The following is a 20,189-nucleotide window of genomic DNA, read 5'->3' on the forward strand; positions in this document are numbered from 1 at the left end:
AACCACCATGGCACACATAACCTATGTAACAAACCTGCACGTTCTGCACATGTATCCAGCTTTTTTTTTTTTTAAGAAATAAAGAACAAATAAAAATTAAAAGAGACTAAGCAGGCTACACTCACACTGAGTAACAAATATCCTAGGGAGTATCTGCCACAGATGGATGACAGACTCCCACTCTCATTTCATGGGGCTGAGTCGTTCACTCCAACTTCCAAGGTAGTCTTTTGACAACATTCCTGGTCAACCCTCAGGCTTCTCATTCAGTGTGCCTGCAGTTCACACTGCCCCCTTCACACATACTTTAGAACATCCTCCTCAACCCCTGCCCACCCAGCCCGGGAATTTCCCTCCCATGTGGTGTATGTCACACATCACAGTATCTGCCCAGCTGTTCCCTACCGCTTCTGACAGCCCACTGCATTCTGTGAGGATGGAAAAGCATTACTCTTGTTCAAACTTTCTCCTCCAGGCCCAGCATCGTCTCTGGCACTGAGCAGAAATCTAATAAACAATTGGCAAATGCACAAATGTATTTTTAAGAATGTTTTATATTTAGTGAGTTAGAGCACTGGATTAAAGGTTAAATGACTTTCTGTACTATTTCTGTCATTAGCTGCAAACTCCAAGAGAGCTGCTTAGACTGTTTGGAATTTAGCATTATACAGTTAGAAAGATGATAAATTGCTTCTACTGAAAACACACAGGCTGACTGTTTTCCTTTGTGTCGTACAAAAGTCCAGATATTGGAGAGAAAATAAAGATCATTAAGACACAGTCCTTATGTTCAAGGAGTTTCATATGGAAAACAGGAATGTAAGCAGGTAACTCAGTGAAGGAAGGAGTAAACCCCAGATACCGTGGAAGCCCTGGCACCAGGGCCAGGATGCTTCCCGATGGAGGCAGTTGAGAACCATGCCTGCAACGAACAGAAGTTCCTTCACTGAAAGTCTCGGGGAAGGGAATAGTCAGCATAAAGAACGTCATGTGCAAATCAGCATGAGGCAGTTATTAGCGTCTTTATGTCATGTGCAAATCAGCGTGAGACACTAGTAACTAGCAAGACACTATGGACTAGTTGCCAGTCCCTCTACAGGGATCGTTTTGAAAGGAGAGATGCCACAGAAACGCTGATGGGTCAAGCAGCTCTTCCAATCATCAAGTGAGGAATGAAGAAAGCCCGAACTCATGAGACAGCGGAGGAAACCCGGGAGGGACTAGAACAAAGTCCAGGCACGGAGGCCCACAGGCCTGAAGGGGCCTGGGCTGTATCTGCACACTCAGCCATCGGCAGTTAGTGGCACACTTTCCACTGAGACAGTGGGGGCAGGTCCCCGGGGCCGGCAAATTCGCGGAACACCAGCCAGGGGCATCTCCGCTGCCTCCACAGGACAAACCAGAGACTGCAATGAGAGGGAGGAGCTGCAGCTCCAAGTTGGGCCATTTACTATTCTGAAACGCAGAAACTGGTATTTCTTGACATGGGCTCCCCAGAAGTCACCTAGTATGAGAGCCACGCCTCTCTACAGATGCTAGGAGTCCCCATTCCAGCCTTTCCTGGTGCTGCTGAAAGAAAAGGGAGGAGAACTGCGTGGCTCTAGACTATCGAAGGGGAAAAAAAACCACTGGTGTAGAATTTTTTAAAAAACCGTTTTGGGCTGGGAGACCTCAGGAGCTAATCCAGCATAGTTATGCAGACTAGAACCTCCACTGACCCCAAGGGACAGGGGAGGTGTGGACTGGGGGAAGCACAGAGACCGTCATAAGCCTCAATATGGTCCCAGTCATAGGTCCACAATTCCAACCAGATAACAACAGAAAACTACCAGAAAACAACACAAATCCTCTGGCAAGGTAATTCCATGACCTACCTTGATAACTCGCTTTCCTTTCTCCACTTGCGGAAAATGCCCTCTTAATTCCAACCTAAATCTTCGTGCCTGTGTCCTCAGCTTCCCTCCTTTTTTGCCAAAGTCCCTGTACAACCTACAACCAGATAGTTACTTGTTTGCTAATAAGACAAGGCACCCTCCCTCTTCTCTCATGTAGTTGAAATATTTCAGCAACAAACTCAGTTCTTATAGTCTGAATTCATCTTCAAAATGTTACTATTACCCCAGTCATGGTATTTGCTTCAATAGCAATGCTGTGGGGATTCACATTAACTAGTTAGCCACAAAGAGAATAAATGTCACTCCACATGCTGAGGAGCAGAGTGGGAGCTCACAGCTCCAAACGTGGCTGTGACATCAACCCTTGACCCTTGGCATAACCCAGGGGAAGTTCCTAAACATGACAAGCCAGGGTTTCCATGACTATTCTGTAAGCAGAGATGCATGCCTGGGCAATTAACTGGCTTGATTCTTGTTTTTATGAGAAAGAAGGTCTAGTAAAAGTGATTGATTACAAGGAGCATTCCAAAGTGCGAGGATCATGATTCAACATCATAAATCAGGTTGTTATTAAAGGAAAACTGTTGAGAAAGAACAAAAATTATGACATACCTTTCCCTCCTCAGTTTAGGTGGAGCTGAGGAGTCCCCGCGCCTAAAATACAAGCTGCATTTGGTTTGTAAGCACCAGTAGGAATGAAAGGAGGTGTATTTGAATAACTGACTCCCTCACTCTCTCTCTCTTTTTCTTTCTTATCAATAACAGAACAGGAAATTTAGAATAAGTAAAGTTCCTAAGGTTTTGTCTTCTATGATTCTTCAAATAGACAAATCAAAAACACTATATCATAAAACATTTCAATAAAAACTTTGCAAAAGGGTTACAATGTTAAAAAAAAAAAAATGCTGCACCTGTAGCTGTCAATAAGTCATTCTGAGGCTGACTGTAAGTTCTGCCTGCTTTATTTCATAACCAGAATGCATTTGGATTATTGCATGTGGCAGTTCTTGAAAAAGTCAGTTGTAAACAGACCCTGAACAAATTCCCTGAATTCTTCTTCTATCAATTACCTGAGATCAAATTATGTTTGTGAAAAATGAAGCTTTACTACTAGCAATTATTTTTAAGCAATGAAATGTAGCAGATATTAACTTATGGTTTTCTTCCTGTTAACACTAAGACTGTATTAGATGAAATTTATAGTTGTTTAACAAAACAAAAACTATTATGTCAGCCTTAGAAGCAGTAATTCATCAATTTATGTAGAGCAAACAATTCATGCCAGATGAGTACAGAGAAATAAATTTCCTACTCACTTTGCAACCATTATTCTTTCCACCACGGAAAGATGGGGTAATCCGAGACTAAAAAGAGAGAGAGAGAGAGACAGAGAGACAGAAAAAGAGAAAGAAAGGGTGGTGTAATAAAATAGGGCCTTATTTAGACACTAAATATAACCACAACCTAGAGTTCACTTATCCAATAACCATAAGCTCTTGATGATTTCTGTCAGTATATCCAGTATTTCAATAACCCCAATAAAATAAATTACTGAGATTTAAAACCAGTCCGAAATGCCCCTTTCAATAACCACTCCTCATCAAAATTCTTATTTCTTTAGAATATTTTCTGCCGGAAGAGAAAGGGAGAAGCAATATTTCATTACCATTTTAGAATGATTTTGTAAGCAGGGATATAAATGTAGTCACACATATTTATGCCAGATAGGAGCTTATCTTGCTTGACCACATAAAAAGTTAGGTTACATGGAGTGGAGAAGATCAAAGATTATTTCATTGTTCTTTCCTCTCATTTCCCTTCCTGCATGTTACTAAGGATCCTGCGACACCCGACAGAAGGTGCTGGCCGAAAGGCAGGAGCCCACGATAAATGAAGTGCTCTCTGCATGGGCGAGGTGGGCCACGGAGATGGGTCTTCAGCACAGGGAGCAGAGAAACAGAATGAACCCAAGCAAATCACTCACTGACATGGTTTGGCTATGTCCCCACCCAAATCTCATCTTGAACTGTAGCTCCCACAATTCACTTGTGTCTTGGGAGGGACCCACTGGGAGGTAACTGAATCGTGGGGTGGGTCTTTCCCATGCTGTTCTTGTGACAGGGAGTAAGTCTCACCAGATCTGATGGTTTCATAAAGGGGAGTTCCCCTGCACACACTCTCTTGCCCGTCACCATACAAGACATACCTTTGTTCCCCTTTGACTTCCGCCATGATTGTGAGGCCTCCCCAGCCATGTGGAACTGTGAGTCCATTAAACCTCTTTTTTTATATACAAATTACCCAGTCTTGGGTCTTTCTTCATAGCAGAGTGAAAATGGACTAATACACGTACTAAGGGGCTTGGTTTTCTCAATATGGTTACAAGGAGTCCCTAACTTAACAAACGGGTTATGTTCCAAGGGACCTTTAACAAATCAGTGTCAGAACTCCCAAACTCATTTGAGTAACAGCAATAGCTCAGTGAGGAATGGCTGTCCAGGCCCTTAGACTTTACAGATATGAAATATACTGAATACGATTTAACTATGCCTAAATATCCTATCGATGCCGTCCATCAGAGAGAGAAATTCTAACTCCAAAGATTCATGTCAAAAACAAATTCAGGAAAGGAGAAGGAAATCTCTTGTCTGGACAGAGAAGAGGGACAAACACCACCGGGTACCAAAGTACTACTAAATCTACATTTGGAATAAGACAGGTCCCACCCTGTGCCTAAAGGAGACAGCTCTCCATGTCAGTCACCTCCTAATTACGTGAGAAGAAACAGGACAGTTGCACCCCTGGGAGGACAGGCTCCAGAAACAGCATGGCAGGAGGACCAACAGAGTTATCTTCCTCCCTTTTCTTTTCAGGAGTGACAACAGGAGCATCAGCTCCTAGCTCAGAGTCCCTCTCCTTCTACAGAAAGAGCGCCTGTGTTCATTAGTAAAGTATTAAAGTGGAAGTTCTTTTAGCAAAACTGTGAAAAAAGGCATTGCAAAAAAATTCTACCCATGCTGCTTACTCGGGTAATTACTGAATCTCAAAAATAAACCTTCAAGGATCAACCTACAATTAGGGAGGCGACATCACCTGCAATCGTCTTCTTTCCACGTGCAAAGTACTTGGCATGATGATTAAATGACAGGCTATCAGCATTGAAGCCAGTGTGCTAGATTCTATAAATGATATTTAGGTTCTTTTACAGAAGCTTTTTCCATACATGAACAATAACTCAGCAGTGTCTCCCTCCCCGAGTTCCTGTATCCTGTCATTAATTAAGTACCTGTGGGTCCTCCACTATATTATAAACTCCTGTGAGAAACAGGGATGATATTTTATTGGGCCCACCTCCAGCCCCCTAGCAAGCTGTCTCTGACTTGCGTAGTATTCAGCAAGCATTGAACAAGAAAATAAATTGCACCATTATGGTAGGCATGATGCAAGGAAACAGGAAAATTGATCCCTGTCTAGCCAGGAAGGAAGATCATCCAGACAGAGTGAAATCAACGGGAAAACCAGATACCTAACTGGCAGTCTGGGGCAGCCTTATCAATACTGCACCATTGACTTAGCAAAGGTCTACCCTTTCGGGAGACTCAAATTTTCTAGAAGAATGCAGGAGAGGCAAGGCGACAAAAGTAGAAATGGCACTGGACTGAACTGGTTATGTTCCAATTTCTGCACGTTTTGTGACTCCAGTGAAATCACTTAACCTTTCCAAATCCCTCTTTCCTCATTCAGAACACAGCAGGAACAGTGTGGGGAAGTAAAACAAAACCATCTCTATGGGTTGCCCCAATTACTGGAACACGATTCAAAGCAGAGTCTGAAAGAAATTAGCCTTCAGTGTTACACATATTTGATATAGCTCATTTATTTACTAAACTCTAAGTATTTCAGATCAACTTAAAATGGACTCGTTTTCCAACTGACTTAGAAAGGCAGCCTTTCATTAAGCCATACCTGTACCTTAATGTTGCAAAGATTCAATTTATGTTCATAGGGGTCAAAAAGAAGCCATTAACCATGCCCCAGTCAATGACAAGTGTGTGGAGTCAGTCTTCAGTTAGAGGCACACACAGAGTGCTCTCCGGCAGGCTTCAGTGAACTGTGCGTGGCTTTCAGGCCAAACTCCACCCACCCCCGGCACTTGCCTGTGTTTGCAAGGCTCAGAAGCCAAGAGTGTTTTTCACATTTTTAAATGGTTGGAAAAGTCAATATTTCATGACATATGAAAATTATATGAAATTCAAATTTTTGTGTCCGTAAATAAAGTTTATTGGAGCACAGCCACGTCATTCATTTATGTATTGCTCACGGCTGCTCTCGTGCCACAACAGTGAACTGAGTAGCGGCAACAGGAACCAGATGGCCCACAAAGCCCAAAATATTTACTCTGTGGCCTTTTACAGAAAAAGTTCGCTAACCCCCGCTGTAGAGTTTCCAGAAGAAGCAGGTATTCTAAGAGTAGGATACAATGGATCAGATAATATCTATAATTCATCAAATCAAGGATGCTTTAAAAGAATTAATAATAATCATCTACAAATATAATATATGCCACAAATAGCAACTAAAAAAAAAATGATACAGAAGATGAAGCCAAGAAAAGGGGGGAAAAAAAAGAGGAAGGAAAGAGAAAATGATATGACAAATGACAAAGAGGAAAAGAGAAAACATTGTCCCTACTCCAGGATGCTCTGTGCAATGCTAGCAACTTCTAGATTATCAATAAGTGTGTTACTATACTGGCTGAAGTTAAAAATGCATGTCATTTACATTGCATATGGGGAGAGAGGAAACAGCTAAAATTACCAAGCCACCATCCTCATGCCAAAGCATCCCTGATAACCATGGGGTAGAAAATATGGCATACCTTAGGGCAAAATGTCCTTTAAGTCTCACTATTGATACAAAAATATTCATGCAAACAGCACTTAGAAAAATATAAATTTTAAAAGATACCATTTACATAAGCTTCAAAACACATAGAATATATAAGAATAAATCTTCTAAAAGGTAGAAAACTATTACACAGAAAACTACAATGTTTTATAAAAATACATAAAAGAAGATGTAAACAAAGGAAATACATACCATGTTCATGGATTAGAGAACTCAGTATTATAAAGATGTACATTTTCCTTAAAACGATTTAGTCGACCCTATTCCAATCCAAATCCCAACAGATTTCTTTTGTAGAACTAGATAACCCAATTCTAAAAATTATATGGAAGTAAAGTGTCCCAAGGAGAGCCAAAACACTCTTCAAGAACACCAACAAACTAGGGACCCTGCCATACAGATGACAAAAGCAGTCATACATAAACAACTTTAAAGATACAGTATAGATAAAGAGACTAGACAAACTAGTGAAATGAAATAGAGAAGTCAAACAAATAGACAAATCCAATTAATGGTTAGAACTGGCTCCATACATCAGTAGGGGGAGAACAGACTCTCTGATAAATAGTTCTAGGACAACTGGTTTATCCGTATGGAGAAAAAAGAAATTAGTCTTCTGCTATATGCACTGCCTGAAAATCAATTCCAGTTGAACTAAGGACTTACATGGGAAAGGCAAAACTACAAAGCTGTTGGAGAACAAGAATATAGAATACATTTTTGCTATCCATGTGGAAGAGGAAAAGATTTCTTACTGGAGACACAGAAAGCATAAAAGATCAATAAAATCAGCTTAGTAAAATTAAGAATTTCCATCCACTAAGAAGTCATTAAAAAGAAAACTACAAGCCACAAACTATTAAAAGCAAGAATTTCTGCTATAATATCACATATCTGTTCCTGAAAAGTGTCCCATTTTGCAAATATGAGTGCTGAAAATAAGACAGCTTATTAAAACTAAGGTTTAGGGAAGAATTCTCAAAGCCACATAACTTACAAAAATAGTAATAATCCTAACATCCTCACCATAACATTAGCATGTAAGCCAGGTGCAGCAGCTCGTGCCTATAGTGCCTGAGACTCAGGAGGCTGAAGCAGAAGGACTCCTTCAGTCCAGGAGTTTGAGACCAGCCCAGGCAACAGAGCAAGACTCCATCTCTATAAAAACATTTTTTTTAAATTAGCCAGGCCTGGTGGTACACGCCTCTAGTCCCAGCTTCTTGAGAGGCTGATGCCATAGGATCATTTTCAGCCCAGGAAGTAGAGGCTGCAATGAGCTATAATTGCACCACTGCACTCTCCAGAGCGATGGAGAGAGAGACCCCATCTCAAAAAACAAACAAACAACAACAAAAATTTAGCACCTATTAAAAGGCATGTTACATACCTAATAAATACTACAATAAATTTAGACCTTTTCCTTAAAAAAAAAATTGAAAGGTGGAGGTCACTTGATGGAGAGAAATATAAGGAAGGGTTGAAAATGCTACATTAATGGGGCCAAGGACAAATGTCCAAGGATGCTGGAGATGGGGACATAAAACTTCCAAGAAAAAGCACATGACCCAAGGTCACCAACAGAAAGAATGTAAGGTGAATGGCAATGTGATAGTCCTGGCTCCCCTGCAGCTCTCTCATTTCAGCTGTGCTAAGGTAGCTGGTGATCAGCGGCTATTACTTGATGTAAAACATTAACGTGCTGGGGAAGCTACCGGGAAAGTGGGCCCACTTTTACATTATGCAGACATGAATGCTGTACTTACCAGTTACACATGAACTCTCTCACACTACAGAAGCCTGCACAGTAAACAATCAACTGATTCTGCAACACATAACTAATGCCGGATCAATAAAGAACTACAGACCAGTAGAAAGAAGAAAAATGAGCAAAGACACTTACGCACTTCCCAGAAATGGATATCCAAATGGCTAGAAAACATGTGAAAGGATCCTCAAGTTCAATGGTCATGACAGTTAATTTTATGTGTCAACTTGACTGGACCACGAGGTGCCCAGATATTTGGCCAAACATTATTCTGGGTGCATCCGCGAGGGTGTTTCCGAAAGAGGCTAACATTTGAAATTGTAGACTGAGTAAAGTGGACAGCCCTCCGTCATGTGGATAGACCTCATCTAATCAGTTGAAGAACTGCATAGAACAAAGGGCTAACCTTATTCCTGCAAGGAAGGGGGACCTTCTCCTGCCTGAATGCTGGAGCAAGACGTCGGTCTTTGTCACTGTTATGAAGCGGCTGTGTAAACATTTGTGGACTGACCAATATCTGTTCACATAATCCATGTCAGAGATTGATGGTCTCATCAGCCAGGTACACATTGTCCAGGTCTGCTGCCTCTCAGTTAAAGCCACAGGGCTGATTCTCACCCGTGAAAAGTGAAGCTGTGCTTTCTCCAAGCTCTTTCTTTCCTATCTCCAGCTGAATGCAGAGGAGGACGAGGCCTGACAAAGATGGCAGGGCCCCAGGATAGAAGATAGCTGGCACATGGAACGGGGGTGTATAGGAAAAGCTGTCTGTCCCTCACATTGGACTGTGACAGGATCAACAAAATTAAACATCACAGCATCAGGCCCTGAGATGTGCTGACCTGTCGCAGCAGCTACTGAGGCACCCTGAACCTGCCCTTGTTACTTACCCTACTACATTTTTATAAGGGAACATATATGCTCGCCTTACTCTCATGTTAAAATAGTAATTCAGTAAATGTCCTACGCATAGCCTCTTACATCCATAATAATCCTTTCAAGAAAGGAGGAGGAGGAGGTGGGTGTCTGTAACAATGAAAAACCAAAGACAATTCAGCCAGAAAAACCAGTAAAGACCAAAAGACCTAAATATGCCCTTAGTAAGCCCAGAGATGGCTCCAGTCTAGACCAGGGTTTTTTAATAGTATCAGCACTATTGACACTCTGGACCACATCACTCTGTGTTGTAGGGGACAGCGCTGTATTCTGCAGATGTTTAGCAGTACCCCGGGTCCTACACACTAATGCCAATAATACTGCCTCCAGTTGTGGCAACAAAACTTGTCTCCAGATATTGCCAAATATAACCTGGGGAACAAAATCCTCCTTAGTTGGGAACCACTGGTTTAGAGAGAGCACCTGGTGAACAGTTTCAAACATCTATATTAACTTGATGCTGTCTAGCCAAATGTCACATGTTGATTCGGTACACAGAAAGACCTCTCCGACAAGGACACATCATGCTGTCCCACGCCAGAGGGGAAATGCCCAAACCAGAACAAGGTGCAAAACCGGGCATGAATGCCAGGCGCTGAGAACTCCATGTCCCAAGATGCCGATTCCAACTGCTGGGATCTCATGCCACGGTTAGTGCACCCCGTGCCCAAGGCACTTACCTTCCTGAGCTGAAAGGTGAACTTTGTTTCTGTCCTACCTCCTCAAGCAATGAAAGAAACAGACAGTGATAAAGGGTACATCTAAACATTTTAATACAGTAGTCCATTCTCTATCTGTTCTAATGAGGAAAAACAGTGATGAAATTGATGAAAGGGGTGGGTAACTCAGGAATCACTGACATTTACTTTTGGCAAAGTCTGTCTGATTTTTCCTCTTCCTAAATGGATCTTCTTCAGAATTTTCTTTTGCTAAGGCTCATATGAAGTTGCTGTGCATTTTCTGACTACATGCTAGCTCCATAGAGGAAACAGGCAGGTTTGAAAAAAAGGCTTCGTGTGCAAAAAATGTCAGCCAGGGCTAGACGCGGTGGCTCATGCTTGTAATCCCAGCACTCTGGGAGGCCAAGGTGGGCGGATCGCCTGAGGTCAGGAGTTCGAGACCAGCCTGGCCAACCTGGTGAAACCCCATCTCTACTAAAAATACAAAAAATTAACTGGGCATGGTGGCGGACGCCTGTAATCCCAGCTACTCAGGAGGCTGAGGCAGGAGAATCGCTTGAACCCGGGAGGCAGAGGTTGCAGTGAGCCAAGATCGTGCTATTGCACTCTAGCCTAGGCAACAAGAGAAACTCCATCTCAAAAAAAAAAAAAAAAAACAAAACAAAAACAAAATAAAACAAAACAAACTAAACTGTCAGCCAGGGTTACAATTACAAAGTTTCCCCTAAAAAAAAAACAAACTGTTTCATTCTAAATCTTAAGATGTCCCATTATACAATCCATGTAATTGTACACAGAACAAATCTCTTCTTCCCAGTCTATCGAGCACCTGAATTACTAAGAACATAATTGCCCTCTTTGAACTTAACAAGATTAATCTAGAGCTAAACATTTCCAATGGCTATCTCTAGGTAGTCCATCTTTCATTGTGACATTTCAACAGCTATACTCTACTTTGCAAACTAACAGATTCTTCCATTGACGGCGACTCGGTATTTTTCTATCTGCAAATTCACCTGCTAAGAATGTAAAGTGATTTTTAAAGGAGAACTTGGCTAATAAATCTATCACATCCTCCATCGTCATCCAAGAGTGACTAACCCACTTGGGTTTATCTTGATTGACTTACAACTCTGCCAGCAGTCGCTCAGCTACACAGAGCAATAAATGATCTCCCTGCAAGCTGCTATGATTAATCACCACCCTTCAGTTAAAGTCAATATCCTACTCACGTCATGTTGACAAAAAGAAAAATTTGGTAATAAGAAATAGATTTCCTTTATCTAGGCTGAAGATATATAAATTACAATCAGATTATGTAGATAAAATACATGAGCTAAATTTATCTGCTGTAAATACACTTGTCACAGCCCTTCTAAATGCCTCTAAAAAAGGGGGTTTATTGAAGTGCCGGAGTTAGTGGGCAGTTGAAGAAAGGCCCGGGCAACAATTCCTGAAAAGGTCATTTGTAACTCATTCAAATTCTTTCTTTTCACTCTACAAGTCGCAAACTAAAAATCTCTTCATTTCCCTGGCCCAGAATGTTTTTACGAAGCACTTACAAAAAATACAGAAAACCAAACACCGCATGTTCTCACTCATAGGTGGGAATTGAACAATGAGAACGCTTGGACACAGGATGGGGAACATCACACACAGGGGCCTGTCGTGGAGTGGGGGGAGGGAGGAGGGATAGCATTAGGAGAAATACCTAATGTTAATGATGAGTTAATGGGTGCAGCACACCAGCATGGCACATGTATACATATGTAACAAACCTGCACATTGTGCACATGTACCCTAGAACGTAAAGTATAATTTAAAAAAAAAATTGCACCACCCTAAGGCATAAGCCATAGGCTTGTAGGAGTAGTAACGGCATCAACAGGGCTCTAGAGGTCCGAGGGAGCCGAGGCCACCACCCAACGCAGCCAAACTACCAACGGGTGAACAGCACGAGCACGTGATGAGTCCAGCAGACCATTATCCACATCTTCACAAGACAGAAGTAAAGCACAAGGGAGCAGCACAGATTTGGGGGAACAGGAATGCTGAGGCCAGAAGTAAAATACAGAATAAAATAGAGGAAAAGAGAATGACGAGAATCCAGAAATTTTGCCTTAGAACCCACATCCTGGACAACCGGCCGGAGACAGCCTCATGTTTCACCCACTCACAGGGGTTTGAACTGCACATAGTCACATAAACATCCAGCAATAATCAGCAAATCAGTAGACTGCAACTGCCCGGAGACCTCTGTTCTCAGCTTAATGGTCTGTTTCGTTTATAGCTATTAGTGATCTTCCTAAGGGGCGTTAGCGAATCACAATGGTGTTTACTGAACCCCCCAGAATAGAAAGTCATGCTGGAGTTATTTTTTCCCTTTAGTTAATTATAAAGTGCTGAAACTGAGATTTTAATTACTTACCAGGTAAACAGACAATATAACCTAATTCCAGAAGGAGAGGGACAGCATTTCAAAGTAAAAACTAGACAGATTTTCTGGGATTGGGGATGCTTCCAGGTTTGGCTCTGCCAAAGGACTGTAATGAGAGGATTGGGGTGCTCCATCCACCTCGGGAGAAATAAACTAAATAAAACACTGAGTTCTGCTCTCAGATATGACCTGCAGCCAGTATTCCCAGCAGCGTTATCCTCATAGCATCCACCACCTCCGTGCAAGATGCTGAGCCCAGAGCCTGTACATCCCATAAGTCATGAAGAAAATAAATTTTAAAATACAGAGAGAATAATACAATTGTTATACATAATAATATATATTATATATAATAACATATAACATTATTTATATAATAAATATAATACAATTGTTCTCAATTGTATTGTTCTACAACGCAATTGCACTGTGTATGGTAAAAACCTAGAGGGGCGAATATAATATTCAACATTGACTAAAAAGTTATGTGACATATCCATACTGCACAGAAGCAATGGAGTGAAATAAGATGGCACGATTGCAGCTCACTGCAGCCTTGACCTCCTAGGCTCAAGCAATCTGCCCACCTCAGCCTCCCAAGTAGCTGGGAGTACAGGTGAATGCCACCAATCTTCGATAGTTTTTGTGTTTTCTCTACAGACAGAGTTTCGCCATGTTGCCTAGGCTGGTCTCCAACTCCTGGGTTCAAGTGATCTGGCCTTCCAAAGTGCTGAGATTACAGGCATGAGCTACCGCACCCAGCCAAACAAACGATTGGGGTTTTTTGTTTTTGTTTTTGTTTTTGCTGTTTTGTTTTGTTTAGAGATGGGGGTCTCACTTTGTTGCCCGGGCTGGTCTTGAACTCCTTGGCTTGAGTGATCCTCTCGCCTTGGCTCCCAAAGTGCTGGGATTACAGGTGTGAGCCACCATGTCCAGCCAGGTTGTAAGATGGTTGAGTGAAACCAACATGTCTCAGAACTGTGTGTTTGGCAAGACACCACTTTTCTCATCTAAATTTCTAATGTAAAATACCTTCATAAGAGTATCTTTATAGAAACAGGAAAATATCTAGATACATGCACAGCTTTTCTGCAGTTATTTCTGGGAAGTGAGTTTGAAGGGGGGAGAGGAAGGAGGACTTTCACATTTTACTTTATATATTTATCTACATGCTATTTTCATTTCCAAGTTACTTTTGTCATTTTTTAAAAAGTAATGGAAAAATAGCATGAACCCCTATTGAAATTATCACTGATTCAAACATGTCCTAGTTAGAACATTTAGTAAGAGTCTAATTTAGAATCATTGCACGTTAGGATTTACTCTTATATCCAAACTAGCATTTTCCTTCAATAGAGAAAAGAGGGACAACCCCTTAAGTGGGAGGCAGATGACACAGCGCTAATCAAAATGGGACACCAAACAGTTTTAGTTGTTTCCACTTGCTGCCTCGCAAAATGACTAAATCTGCTAACTTATTTACAAGTTACAGAAAAATCCACAAAGCATTAACAGCAAGGAGCCTACCACTGCATTATTGCTACATAATGGCAAATCCAAATGTTGAACTGCTAGGCAGCTATGCAAACCACACAAGAGATACCCGGAAGAATGAACAAGCACTACCTGTAACATTTCTTAACGATCACATGATCTCTGGGATTTCTATCTCAACCACACTTGGTGTAAGATGTTGGGTTATTATCCCAGCCTTTCTGTGACTATAGCTCTTTGGAAGGACAAGGGCATTACAGCTAAAACATGCATAAAAAACCAGACCCGGCTGGGCACATTGGCTCACACCTATAATCCCAGCACTTTGGGAGGCTGAGGCAGGGGAGTCACCTGAGGTCAGGAGTTCGAGACCAGCCTGGCCAACATGGTGAAACCCTGTATCTACTAAAAATACAAAAATTAGCTGGGCATGGTAGCAGGCCCCAGTATTCCCAGCTACCTGGGAGGCTGAGGCAAGAGAACCTTTTGAACTCAAGAGGCAGAGGTTGCAGTGAGCCGAGATCGTGTCACTGCACTTCAGCCTGGGCAACAGAGTGAGAAAGAGAGAAAGAGAAAGAGAAACAGAAAGAGAGAGAGAGAGAAAGAGAAAGAGAGAAAGAAAAGAGAGAGAGAGAGAGGGAGAAAGAGAAAGAAAGAAAGAAAAGAAAGAAAGAAAGAAAAGAGAGAGAAAGAAAGAAAGAGAAAGAAAGAAAGAAAGAAAGAAAGAAAGAAAGAAAGAAAGAAAGAAAGAAAGAAAGAAAGAAAGAAAGAAAAAGCAAGCAAGCAAGCCAGCCAATCCGGCAGCACAAGAGTAAAACGTCACGATCCCCTGTGAGGGTCCATTGTGTGTGTCAATGTGCCTGGCCATGATGCTCAGATATTTGGTCAAACATTATTCTGGGTGTTTCTTGGGGTGTTTCTGGCTGACATTAGCATTTGAATCAGCAGATTGAGTAGAGCAGATGCTATGGGTGGGCCACATCCCATCCATCGCAGGCCTGTATAGAACAAGAGTCTGATCCACCCCCAAGTGAGGGAGAATCCCTCCTGCCTCACTGCCTTTGGGGGATGATGGCTTTTTCCCACCTTCCAACTCTATCTGAAATATTGGCTCTTCCTGGGTCTCGAGCTTGGAGGCCTTCAGACAAGAACTATTCCACCAGTTCCAGTTCTCAGGCCTCAGGCTAGGACTGGAAATTACACCATCTTCCACCATCAGCTCTCCTGGATCTCCAGCCTGCCAACTGCAGATCTAGGGACTTGTCAGCCTCCATCATCACAGGAGCCAACTCCTTGGAACAAATCTCTCAATATCACCATCCTACAGGTTTTGTGTTCCTGGAGAACCCTGACTAGTCCATATGCCAAATAATTTCAATCTGCTACTAACCCAGATTATTCAAGTCCCAGATACACCAGTTAAGAGCTGTATGACCTTCAGCAAGTTACTTTTCCTCTCTGATCCTCGGTTTCCACAGGGACAAGAACAGTCCCCACCTCACAGGCTTGCTAGAAGTCTTAATGTAAAACCTGTACAACAGCACCTGAGACATAGTCAGCCCTCTTAATATTTGCTGTTATTAAGAAGATGTTCAGGCATAGAAGTACACAGATTAAGGCTAATCTATACAACACAGGGAAAACTGGAAGTGTCAGGAACACTAGAATTTCTGAGTTCCTGGAACAATTGGAAGCTGAACTTGGTCTACTTCATCACAGAGGGAAGAGATACAAAGACCATGCTGAGAACAGATGGTGAACCTTGAAGAGCCAAAACGCATGACCTCCCTCAACAGGACTCATGTTTATGCAATGTTCTAATTAGTGAATGGGTTGTGTTGGATTTTTATCAGAATGGCAAGAAAAACAGCAATGTTTACAGCTGGGCTAGGGCAGTTAGAAAGGCTCAGAGCAGTGCAGACCAGAAACAGCACTGAGAGCAGAGCCCAGCAGAAAAGATGCTACGGCCAAGGGATCCAGCCAGCTGGGCTAGAAAAGGCAGTGAGCGTACCCCAAAGCCATATGAGCAGGCAGGTGAGGGGCTGGGTGGAGGCTGGTGGGCCCAGCACACCCAGGAAAGGGAAGCGCCAATGGGTCAGTGATGGGCCCCGCCAGGCTGGAAAGCAGCACAAGGAACACTCAGATGAGAGCAAGGTTGGAATGAACTATGCAGGGGACGACAGGCCAGCCACGGGGTCCCCAAGGAAGCCTGCGACCTGGAGGACATTCTTCTCCCATGCAACTGAGTTTAAAACCTGGATCCACCATGCACAGGACAAGTCACTCAAGCCCTCTGTTCAGCTCTCTTTCATTCCACACAAAATATGAAGAGAAGTCTCAAAGTCACTAGCATCGTGCCTGTAAATGAAGAGGTTCCCCTTTCTGGCCTGCCAAGATGGTCTAGCATGCCTGCTCACTTCGAGGATTTCTCCAGGATCAACTCCTCTGAAAAAGATCCCCTATTGGACTCTCCATGAACCTCTTGATATTACATAGCCATAGTATGTAGGCTGGTGAACATGATAACCTCCCTCCCCACACATAAACACACACACACACACATGCAAACCACACATACATATGTGCATGCCTATGAAGTCCTTAAACTCAGGGACTATGCCTATTTGTTTCTCTATTGATAAATGTGATATCTAGTGTGTGGCAGAGCTCACAACTGTGTACTAAATGAGCACATACTTCCTTCTAAAATTCTGGTCGTGTCCCCCTCATCAGTTGCAGTCTTTGCAGGGCTTGGAAAGCACTGCTCCTTCAGGAGAGGGCTTTGTCCTCGTGCCCCCTCCCCCAGGGTCATGTCCTGAGTGTGTGAGCCTACTCAGAGGACTGGCCCACACTAAATCCATGGGCAGGACCCATGTGGGCAGCTGTGGGAAGCCACATGGTTTTATTCCTCTCATCATTCGAAAATAGAGGCAGCTTAATGGAAAAAAAAAAATCCTACAGAATTTAAGATCCTTATTTTTAATAAAAGCATCTGCTCTCAATTCCAAGCGAAGACATATCATGGCCAGCGTGGTGGCTCACACCTGTAATCGCAGCACTTTGGGAGGCCAAAGCGGGCAGATCACCTGAGGCCAGGAGTTCAAGACCAGCCGACTAACATGGAGAAACCCCATCTCTACTGAAAATACAAAATTAGCCAGGCGTGGTGGCGCATGCCTGTAATCCCAGCTACTCAGGAGGCTGAGGGAGGAGAACCACTTGAACTCAGGAGGCGGAGGTTGCGGTGAGCGAAGATCATGCCACTGCACTCGAGCCTGGGCAACAAGAACAAAACTCCGTCTCAAAAAAAAAAAAAAAAAGTACACATCAGCAATATCATAGCTTCTGGCCACGCTGACCTGGTCCACAGAGGAGAAGGTAAAAGATCTGAGTCAGATCCTTGTGTGAACCTGCGTAAGGAAAACACTAATTTATGTAACAAAATGACATGAAATATTAGGTTTCAAATTCTATTAAACCACCAAGGAAATGCACAAAAACCCCTGGTGGGCGTCATTTGGAAGACAAAATTGTATCTCTGGATGAAAAAGATATTTGACTTCGTTATAAATTCCAAAAAATCAGCAAGTCATAGAACACCACAATTCAGTATTATCCTAACCACAACTTGGGACAGTCTAAGACGGTGGCTGCAAACCACAAAGATATGCACCATCTTAAGGAAGAAATGATTTTCTGAGAACTCTAAGGAATATTGAATGGAGAAGAATTAACTGCAACACAGAAGTGTCCACTGGAGCTGGTACTTGTAGGTCTGACCATGAAATTCTGGCTAATGCTGGGAAGAAGAGAAAGTGGCAAATTCATGGGGACACAGGAGGCATTCTGCCAGAACCTTCTTGCCTGTTCTCACTGATATTCTCTGCCCTAAAGACCACGGTTTCACAACCTTTTTTTCTCTCATTATCATGCCCCTAAGAAGCCCTTTTAGATATTTGTTCTAAACACCTCCTCCTCATGAAATTGTAAAACCACAGATATCCTTCATATCTTTTTATGTGTTATACTGACATCTGTGCTTGGCACATTTTAAAAGCATGATTTTTTTTTCACCTCTTTGGAGGTGATATTGTCCCCACTTAGAAATACATGACCTGAATTCCAGGTCAGCCAATGCCCAAGTACTTGGACTTGTACCTGGCACCTGGGCTCAATCAAGAATCTTATGACTTGAATGAGTGAAATAACATTTACCTTTCATTAGCAGGAATGTAACACAGTGGCTCTGTTAAATATGCCTTGAGCCACAATATGACACATCAGTCATACTGATAGAAGAATATCCACTCAATCCTTCAGTAAATACACAGCCCAAATGCTGAGGGAACTGGAGCGAGAAAATAATAAAGGTTCGCGTCTCCGCGTCTTCTATTCTGGGCTAGGACAGACGAATGGTCAAGTGGCAAATATGTTATCAGACAATAAAAATGCTAAAAAGGGAAATAAATCTGCCAGGGTGGGGCTGATTTTATTTGTACACAATTCCTCAAATCCTCATGAAAAAAATGACATTTTAGCAGAGACTTAAAGGAATTGAGAGTAAACCATGCAATTATCTGAGGGAAGGGTGTTCCAGGCAGAGAGTGCCGCCTGTACAAAGGCCCCGGGCCATAAACCAACTTGGCATCTCTGACAAAAGGGAAGGAAGCCAAGCCCACTGGAGCAGGGCCACACGAGGGATCGCAGAAGACAAAGTCAGAGACACGGAGGCAGAGTTTCCGTGGGTGGATTCATTAACCAGGTGCACTGCAAGACATCTTTAAACTATGTCCCTCAGAACTTCTAGGCAAAGCAGTCAACATGCAAACAAAAAACGTAAGTCCGCTGGCAAGGAAGTCACTAAACCAAAATCATCAAGTTCGCAGTACTCCTGGGGTAAAAATACAGAGCTAGGAACTGTGCACATGTCTTTCTTCAAATCTTAGCAGCAATTAATTCCCCGGCGTTCTGCAAAAGCATTACTTTTGCTCATTCAGGAGAAAGAAATCCAAAGTTTAAAACTGAATACTGTCACAGAGCTGCAAACACAAGGTCCCTGAGAAAGCCAACCAGCCTATCTCAAACTGGATGGGACACAAGTCTGTTCTTAATTTGACCTAGATCTTGGGGAAAACAAACGTCCTTCACGTACAAAGGTACACTTATTTCCGGATGTCTTAAGAAATTCCCAGAGTCACAGGTATCAGTTATGGTATATCAGGAAGTTTCATTTTGTTTATTGCTGGATTTTGTAAAATCTTTTTGTAGCATGTAAGCTACAGGAATTAAACTAGGTGCTACCAAAGAGAGAGACAGAGAGAGAGAGAGAGACAGAGAGAGACAAAGACTGAGAGACTGAGAGACAGAGATAGACTGAAAGAGACAGAGAGAGAGGAAGATAGAGAGACAGAGAGAGAGAGACAGAGAGAGACACAGAGAGAGAGAGAGGGAGAGACAGACAGACAGAGACTGAGAGAGAGACAGAGAGAGACAGAGAGGAAGACAGAGAGACAGAGAGAGACACAGAGGGAGACAGAGAGGGAGAGAGACAGAGAGACAGAGAGAGACTAAGAGAGAGAGACAGAGAGACTGAGAGAGACACAGAGACTGAGAGAGACAGAGAGAGATGAAGACAGAGAGACACAGAGAGAGAGACAGAGAGGGAGACAGAGAAGGAGAGAGACAGAAAGAGAAAGAGAGAGACAAAGACAGACAGAGACAGAGAGAGAGACATAGAGACAGAGAGAGACAGAGACAGAGAGAGAGAGACAGACAGAGAAAGTCAAAGCTTGACAACGCCAACTTGGCCAGATGCATGGCTCATTACTTTAATACACTGTCATACATGCGAAGTGATTTAAATTCACTCAAGTTGCTTCCCTTTCCCATCAAACGAGACGCCTGAGTGTGCAGCTGCTGACTCTTAACAATTAATTAATGACTCACTTTTATCTAGTTCTTCCTCAAAGTACTTCCAATCATGTGGTAAGTGTTCTCTACCATCTTGCCCCGCGGTATAAATGAAACAAGCCGGAGGGTCAGAGGGTTACAGCCACTTGTTCTCCAATTCAGACAAG

At 42.6% G+C, this 20,189-nt stretch overlaps 1 protein-coding gene across 9 annotated transcripts in view, besides 1 other annotated feature; it reads right to left on the reverse strand.

Moving 5' to 3' along the window:
- Window positions 1-20,189, reverse strand: part of SFMBT2 (Scm like with four mbt domains 2) — a 252,867-nt gene that overhangs the window by 141,603 nt on the left and 91,075 nt on the right. The window lies entirely within an intron of this gene.
- Window positions 19,130-19,199: an enhancer, noted in NCBI's record as "active region_2972". NCBI's record gives its function as "activates an Ori minimal core promoter by ATAC-STARR-seq in GM12878 lymphoblastoid cells {active_cell/tissue: GM12878}" and the evidence as "EXISTENCE:reporter gene assay evidence [ECO:0000049][PMID:35858748]".

The sequence above is a fragment of the Homo sapiens genome, chromosome 10, assembly GCF_000001405.40.
Source record: "Homo sapiens chromosome 10, GRCh38.p14 Primary Assembly".
In the NCBI taxonomy this organism is placed as follows: Eukaryota; Metazoa; Chordata; class Mammalia; order Primates; family Hominidae; genus Homo; species Homo sapiens.